The following is a 9478-nucleotide window of genomic DNA, read 5'->3' as shown; positions in this document are numbered from 1 at the left end:
AAGAACTTAAATAAACAAAACTTAAACAAAAGAGAAAAGAAAAACAACCGCATTAACAAGTGGGCAAAGAACATGAATAGATACTTTTCAAAAGAAGACATACGTGCCACCAACAATCATATGACAAAAGCTCATCTCTGATCATTAGAGAAATGCAAATCAAAACCACAATGAGATACCATCTCACACCAGTCAGAATGGCTGGTATTAAAAAGTCAAAAAATAACAGATGCTGGCAAGGTTGCAGAGAAAAAAGAAACACTTATACACTGTTAATGGGACTGTAAATTAGTTCAATCATTGTGGAAAGCAGTGTGTCAATCTCTCAGAGACCTAAAGACCGAAATACTGTTCCATCCTGCAATCCCATTACTGGGTACATATCCAGAGGAAAATAAATTTTTCTATTATAAAGACACATGCACACGTATGTTCATTGCAGCACTATTTACAATAGCAAAAACTTGGAATCAACCTAACTGCCCATCAATGGAAGACTGGGTGAAAAAATGTGGTACATATACACTGTATTAGTCCATTCTATGCTACTTATAAATACATACCTGAGACTGAGTAATTTATAAAGCAAAGAGGTTTAATTGGCTCACAGTTCAGCATGGCTCAGGAGACATCAGGAAATTTACCATCATGGTGGAAGGCAAAGGGGAAGCAAGGCACCTTCTTTACAAAGTGGCAGGAAGGAGAAGTGCAAGAAGGAGAAATGCAGATGTTTATCATACCATCAGATCTCATGAGACTCACTCATTATCATGAGAACAGCATGGGGGAAACCATCTCCATGATTCAGTTACCTCCACCTCATTCTGCCTTTGACATGTGAGGATTATTACATTTCAAGGTGAGATTTGGGTGGGGACCCAGAGCCAAACCATATCATTCTACCCCTGTCTCCTCCCACATCTCATGTCCTCACATTTCAAAACACAATCATGCCCTTCCAACAGTCCCCCAAAGACTTAACTCATTTCAGAATTAACCCAAAAGTCCAAGTCCAAAGTCTCATCTGAGACAAGGCAAGTCCCTTCTGCCTATGAACCTGTAAAATCAAAAGCAAGTTAGTTACTTCCTAGATACAATGAGGGTGCAGACATTGGGTAAATACACCCATTCCAAATGGGAGAAATTGGCCAAAACAAAGAGGCTACAGGCCCAATGCAAGTTTTAAATCCAATAGGACAATCATTAAAACTTAAAGTTCAAAAATGATCTCCTTTGACTCCATGTTTCACATCCAGGTCATGGTGATGCAAGGAGTGGGCTCCCATGGCCTTGGGCAGATCTACCCCTGTGGCTTTGCAGGTACAGCCTCTCTCCCAGCTGCTTTCATGGGCTGGCATTGAGTGACTAGAGCTTTTCCAGGCACATGATGCAAACTGTTGGTGGATCTACCATTCTGGGGACTAGAGGACAGTGGCCCTCTTCTCACAGCTCCACTAGGCAGTGCCCCAGTGGGTGCTCTGAATGGGGGCTCCAACCCCACACTTCCCCTCCACACTGTCCTAGCAGAGGATCTCCATGAGGGTCCCACTCCTGCAGCAAACATCTGCCTGGATAGCCAGGCATTTCCATACATCCTCTAAAATCTAGACAGAGGTTCCCAAACCTCAATTCCTGACTTCTGTGCATCTGCAGGCCCAACACTACATGTAAGCTACCAAGTCTTAGGGCTTGCATCCTCTGAAGCAATGGCCTGAGCTGTATGTTGGTCCCTTTTAGCCATGGCTAGCATGCAGGGCACCAAGTCCCAAGACAGCACAAGGCGGCAAGGCCCTGGGCCTGGTCCATAAAACCATTTTTTCCTCCTAGGTCTCTGGGCCTGTGATGAGAGGGCCTGCCATGAAGACCTCTGACATGCCCTGGAGACATTTCCCCATTATCTTGGCTATTGACATTTGGCTCCTCGTTACTTATGCAAGTTTCTGGAGCTGCTTGAATTTCTCCTTAGAAAATGGGTTTTTCTTTTTCTATTGCATTGTCCAGGCTGCAAATTTTCCAAACTTTTATGCTTTGCTTCCCTTTTAAACATAAGTTCCAATTCCAAACCATCTCTTTGTGGATGCATAAAACTGAATGCTTTTAAGAACATCCAAGTCACCTCTTGAATGCTTTGCTGCTTAGAAATTTCTTTGGCCAGGAACTCTAAATCATCTCTTTCAAGTTCAAAGTTCCACAGATCTCTAGGGCAGAGGCAAAATGTAATCAGTCTCTTTGCTAAAGCATAGCAAGAGTCACCCTTATTCCAATTCCCAGTAAGTTCCTCATCTCCATCTAAGACCACCTCAGCCTGGACTTCACTGTCCATATCACTCTCAGCATTTTAGTCAAAGCTATTCAATAAATCCCTAGAAAGTTCCAAACTTTCCCATATCTTCCTATCTTCTTCTAGCCCTCCAAACTCTTCCAACCTCTACCTGTTAACTAGTTCTAAAGTCACTTCCACATTTTCAGGTATCTTTATAGCAGCACCTCCCCCCACCTCGGTACCAATTTACTGCATTAGTCCACTCTCACACTGCTAATAAAGACATACCTGAAACTGCGTAATTTTTAAAGGAAAGAGGTGTAATTGACTCATAGTTCAGCATGGGTGTAATCGACTCATAGTTCACCATTCTCACGCTGCTAATAAAGACATACCTAAGACTGCATAATTTTTAAAGGAAAGAGGTATAGTTGACTCACAGTTCAGCATAGGCCTCAGGAAATTTACCATCATGGTAGAAGGGGAAGCAAGGCATCTTCTTCACAAAGTGGCAGGAAGGAGAAGTGCAAGCAGGGGAAATGCCAGATGCTTATAAAACCATTAGATCATATGAAACTCACTCATTGTTATGAGAACAGCAAGGGGGATCCACCCCCTAATTCAATTACCTCCACTTGGTCCCACGTTTGACACATGGGTGTTATTACAATTTAAGGTGAGATTTTGGTGGGGACACACAGCCAAATTATATCATACACTATGGAATACTATGCATTCATTCTCAATGAGGTCCTGTCCACTGCAGGAACATGGATGGAGTTGGAGGCTATTATCCTTAGCAAACTAACACAGGAACAGAAAACCAAACACCACATGTTCTCACTTATGAGTGGGAGCTAAATGATGAGAACACATGGACACATAGAGGGAAACAACACACATCAGGGCCCATCAGATGGTGGAGGGTGAAAAGACAAAGAAGATCGGGACGAATAACTAACAAGTACTAGGCTTAATATCAGGGTGATGAAATAATTTGTACAACAAATCCCTATAACACAAGTTTACCTATATAACACACCTGCACATGTACCCCTGAACTGAAAATAAAAGTTAAATAATTTTTTTTAAAAAATCAAATACTAAGAATAGATCCAAAGCCTTAACTTCTAGGTAGGAATTATAAGAGGGTGCTGAAGCAACTATGCACAGAGACAGACACTAATAGTCACATAAAATCATTATAAAGAAAGTGTACAGAGAATGACTAAATGTTTCCTCTCATTATCTCATCTACAGTTAGAGTAGTACTATTGACATTTGAGACTCAGTAATGCTTTGTTGTGGAGCATGATAAAATTAGCAGCGTCCCTTCCCTGGGCTCTACCCATGAGATGCCAACAGCAGCAGCCCCTTATTATGACAATAAAAATTGTCTTCAGATATAGCTTGAGAATACCCAGAGTGGAGAGCTCACAGAAGCCACCCATCTAGTGGGTTGGTGGATGATATTGTCAAAGTGAAGGAAGAGAAGAGGAAGAAAGGAGAAGCTGGAGCAGAATCCCGACAGTGATAAAATCCAGGCAAAATTATTCCCAGTTGAGAAGCACTGATTAGAGGAAAGCTCCAAGAGAATTAAGGAAGAATCCCAGGAAGTGATGACTAAATATGTTTAAAGACTGTGAAAAGGAAAATGAAAAATAAACATTTTTGACAGTTTACTTAACCTACCACAAACTACAGCCTTACCTGGAGGAAAGATGATAACAAATTAAAATCCCTTTAAGCCCTAGCTGGGTTAAGGGATGGTGTTGCCAATGAAAGGTATCCATCCATGTAAATCTGGTAGGGCTAACACTGTAAGTGTTCTTAACAGTTAAAGAATATTCCAGATTAAAGAAAGAGCAAATCAGAAGAAGGTAATAACCTTAGAAATAAAGCTTCATTAAGACTAATTATAATAAAGATTTTCTTCTCGGAAATGACCTTTTCGATGACAGGCCAATTTGGATTACCTAATTATCATATTTACTGTGAAATTTTCAAATGAAAGAATCTGACTTTACAGATGTTGTGGTTTAAACAAAGAAAAGCATCTAACAGACCAAGAGTAACCTTCTGGACTCTTATAGGACACTTCTGTGCTATTATCTGCAAATACTTCTTGTGGACTTTGATTACACTATAAGTTGTATCATCAATTCAGCTCAGTTCAGCTGGTCTCTATCAGGGCCTGGGTGGGATAAAGAGATGCTCAAGGAAGTCTATTTGCCCTCAATGACCTTGCTGTCTGGTAATAGAGACAGGAATACTCTGAAATAAATTATATTAATTTCTGTCCCAATAAAAAATAATTTATTAAGTTACAAACATGGAATAGAAATGAGCTTGGAAAGCCTAGGAAGGAATCACATAATTTCAGCTGACTGTGGTTGAGGAATAGTGATTATTTGGGGTAGATTTGGAACTAGGCCTTAAAATAGGAAAAGTTCAATAGTTACTAATGGAGGATGTACACAAAATGATCTTCTAGGTGGAAGGAACAAAAATGGCAAAAGCCAAGGGGTCAGAGGCATAGGCTGTGAGTGTGGAATGAGGAGTTAATCTTTTAGGACTGGAGCGTGAAGTGTGTGGAAACGTGAGACACGTTGCCAGAAAGCTAGATTGTTGTCAGCTGTGGAGAGCTTTGAATGCCAGAGTAAGGTATACATGATGGTGATTTGAAATTTCTACCTTATTCTTTGGATACTATGTAATTGCTTCCATCTCCAGACATATTGATGACAAATGAAGAGTATATTGTTAGTAAATTAATGTAAATAAGTTTTCAAAAGCATAAATGTGTCTGAGATGACTTAACTGGTAGCAGCTCTAGAATTTATATCATAACCAAGTGGCTTTTCAGTCTTAGCCTTGCTGCTGAATTTACAGGGCAAAGACAATATTTTTACTATAATTGTAAGAATGATGTGGAGTGGCTTTGAGGAAGACACTGGAGTTACTGGAGAGGCTAGAATTTTACGAAAATCCCATTTGGAGAATTTAAAACCTCTGAAAATCTGTTTGGAACTGGGCTTCATTAAATAAGAAGCTAGTAGGTTAAGGATTAAAGAAAAATATATTTGTGCTCTATATCCAAGGATGAAGCAGGGCATTAGGTAACAAAATCCAAAACCTTTATATATGCAGAAAGAAGCAGAAAAGTGCTCCTTGAATGTTATTGACAATCTTCTGGAAAATGCCCATTGAATCAGAGGATCAGAAAACTCAAATACTTTATGTTATCAGATACTGTGCACCTTTTAAATAAGTAAGCATCCTTACGTTATTCACTAAACAATTTATCTTCCCCCAGAAAGTTTCGTCCTGTGGAGTTAGGAATGAAGGTTGCAACATGTCAAATTGATGTCAAACAGAAACTCACAGTTTTATCAGTAAACTTTCCCACTGAGGGGCTCACCTCTGAAAACCCTGTTGTCAAGAGAGTTTGACCTATCCCAAAATAGTCTGAATAATCACTCTTCTAAGAAAACAAAAATGCCTTTGTGAAAGGTGCCATTAAAATATCGTTATGTAGATTTCATTATCATTGTCCTTGCTCTAGCTATTAACAGTGTATTTCTGAGACACTTCATATATGCAAAATCTAGACAGAAGGTTAAGGTCTACTTGAATTATTGAATAGAAAATAGCATGTCATCCTAAGGTCACAGTTTTTAAGTGTCTAAATGAAGCCACTTGATGAATTTTATTTTAATTATGAAAACATCCCTCTATTTTTAAAATTTGTAATTCAAATCCTTCTGTGCCTTCTGCTAAATGATGATTGAAATATTATTCCTTATTGAAGGATATTGAGTGTCCCATATCCACCAATCTTGAAATCTAATTGTATGTATCTTTGTAATACTTTGATTGTAAGTGGCCTTGTATATGAAAGCGTCTACTACAGCATCTACCTTACAGAAGCTAGTAACATTAATTTTACCTTTAAATGAGTGAGAACTGCATTGAAAATCAGTGAAGTAAATCCCAGCCTATCTTTACTAACTACGCAAGAAAATCCTCCTTGGGGCTGCCTATCTGTACTGAGAAAGTAGGTTTACCTTCATTGTGAAGATAATTCTAGGTCATGATTCTTTCTTCCCTCTTTCCAGCCTACTCTTATTCACTCAGTGTGGATATTTGGTTAGTATCCTGTGAAATGCAAAGTGCCTACCTCCAAGAGAAACATTTTGTATTATAAAAATCCAGTAAACTCTGGAGACAAATGGATTTGGGTTGGAATGCTGGCTCTGCTTGAAGGAAGTTATATAACTTCTGAGTTTTTGTTTCCTGGTTTATGCGATGTCTATAATAAGTGTGTACCTTGTTATACATTATTATATTATACAGTGTTGTTCTGAGGTTTGGAGGGAATGAACACATTGATCTGGTCCCTGCTAGGTGCTCAGGCAGTGGTTGCTGCTGCAGTTGTCATTGTTAGGATTTAGCTAGAACTGACCTGTAACACGTCAGCAATGACAGATCTGAACCACATGTTCTCCTCAGGAGCAGCTGAGGGCAACAGAGAAGTAGAGAGCTCTCAGAAGCCACTTTCTACAGGTGAATAGAGCTGTCAGCCTGGAGGCAGGAGAAAGGAAGAAAGGAGAGGCTGGAGCAGAATCCCTGAGCTGACAGGAATGGAAATGTAGGCGTAAGAGGGAACATCAACACCAAGAATGGAATTGGGTCAGGCAGTGGGCAACTGAGAAACACATTTAAAAGAACATTTTTCCTTAGCAGAATCAGAAACTAGAAAATACAGAAACTCAGGAAAGTGGACAATAATACTAACATTTACGTGGGAACCTTTTAAATTACAAAGCCCATTCACATCCCTGAGTTTATAGTGAGATAGACCCATTATGAAGCCCATTTAATAGCCTTCAGTTTCGCTGTTTAGAAACTTGATAACCTTCATATTTTACAAATCACCTCACTATATTTCTAACTACATGTTAGAATAGGGAAGCGTATAATCACCTAAACTTCCACCCTGTGGGAAATGTCTCACAATAAACAGCTCTTGCATATTCTTCTAGAGAGCCTAGAAGTAATAAGCCCCCTCTGCTAAGTAAATCTGCACCATCACCCTGGTCACTCGTCGATGCCTGAGTGATCATGCACCTGAAAGCTGGCTGGCTATCTGCCAGACCAGGGCCACCAGGCAGTGCCAGAGAGGTTAATACAGTGTGCCAAGATGTACTTCCAGAATGCCACAAATTGCTGACTCTTCACTGGTTGCTAAGGGAGAAATAGCCTCTTTTCTGCCAAGCGGGCTTCATCTGGGAAAATTGAGCTCTTGGTCATCCAGGCATTTTAATGGACTCTATGAATCACTGATCAGCCAAGAAAGAATGTGAAAGAGCCCAGGGTCCTAAGTCTGCTGATTGGCTTTTCTAACAAAGACAAATGGAAAGCCAGTCATTCTCAATGAAGCAGGCCGCAAAAGAGATGCTTTCTGCTAATTCCGGCCTCTCCTGTTTCTGTCCCTGGAGGACCATGGAGGTAAAAGCCACCATAAACCACAATTCTTAGCAGACAGCAAAAGAGAGTAGAGGAAACAAGGATGGATTGAATCACTCGGTATCCTTCAAAAAGTCTCAGCCTTGGTTCACAGCAAGAAAGAGATGTGAGATGACTGGGGCCCCCCTTTGCCCCCCTTTTTCACAAGCAACATTGAAATGACTGAGACGTGACACAAATTAGAAACAAAGGATCTTAGTGCTGGAAGGGGAATTAAACGTCATTACTCTACTCGCCCCAAACCATTTTATAAATGGGAAATTTGAGGCTGAGAAAGGCAAAGAAAATTGTCCAAGGTCAGACTGTATATTAAAGGCAGCACTGGAACTAGAACCTGTGACTCCGTATGCTCAGTCCCAGTGTCGTTTGAATATACCATGCCTCTGTGTGGGGTGGGGTGGGCTGGACAAAAAGCAGAAAGCATACCTTTTTATGAAGATCATATGAGGAGTCACTTTACAGAGCTTCTAGATATTGATGCCTTCACAGATATGCAAAGCAGAATGGGGGCTTATATAACAGCATGATTTTCAACCAAACTGTCATATATTGAGGAGTCCCAAAGATGAAAACTTTGTCATTTTCTTGCTTAACTGAGATCAAGTTGGGAATTTAGAAAACATCCAAGTCTTATCCAAGGCATACTGAGGGAACATTTGCTGCCAACCAAAATGAAATAACAGGAACCAGTTTTTCTCCCTCCAGATGAAAATATATATAGAGAGAGAGAGCAAGAGAGAGAGAGAGAGCAAGAGAGAGAGCAATGGTGTTCAAATAAGTGGGAAATGGACATCCGGCAACCAAGGACAGTGATTTCTGAGAAAGAAAAACAAATCAAATGAAGCCTGTGATTGTGCCCAGACTGCAGATTCCAGGCTGCAACACAGGTTGGGGAACCTGGGTGGAGCCTCATAAACTCCCTGGGCTGGGATTCTAGGGAGGCCAATGTGGCTGGAGTATACGAAGCAGAGTACTAAAGTGGAGACAGCTACAGGAAGAAGGACTCTCGAGGTTTTCAGAGAGTGTCCTGAGAGTCTTCACCTGATAGTATTGAACAGTGAAAGTGTGTGAGGAAACAGGTGAATAGATAAGTGATGGTATATCCATACAAAAGCATGCTACTCTGTTATACAAAGAAACAAATTGGGCCAGGCGTGGTGGCTCACACCTGTAATCCCTTCAGGGGGCCAAGACAGACAGATCGCTCGAGCTCAGGAGTTTGAGAACAGCCTGAGTAGCATGGTGAAACCCTGTCACAAAAAAATAAAAATAAAAATTAGCAGGGCGTGGTGACATGCACCTGTGGTCCCAGCTACTTGGGAGGCTGAGGTGGGAGGTCCAGGAGATCAAGACTTTAGTCCAGGAGGTCAAGGCTGCGGTGAGCAGTGATCTCACCACTGCAGTCCAGCCTGGGTGACAGAGCAAGACCTTATCTCAGAAATTAAAACAAAACAAAACAAATGTATTAATATGTGCAGCATCGATAAATCTTAAATAATAATTACGATTAAAAGAAGTCAAACAAGTATTACATAGAGTATGATTCCATTCATGTAAAACTCTAGAGGATGCAAACTAGTCTATAACAGAAATACCAGTGATTGTCTAAGGAGAAGTGGTGGGACAGGTAGTGGCATGAGGAAGAAAGTAGGAAAGGGCACAAGGAAACTTAGAGGATCGGGTGTG

The sequence above is a fragment of the Homo sapiens genome, chromosome 3 (genome assembly GCF_000001405.40).
Source record: "Homo sapiens chromosome 3, GRCh38.p14 Primary Assembly".
Lineage (NCBI taxonomy): Eukaryota > Metazoa > Chordata > Mammalia > Primates > Hominidae > Homo > Homo sapiens.
Note: the sequence above shows the minus strand (reverse complement) of the source record.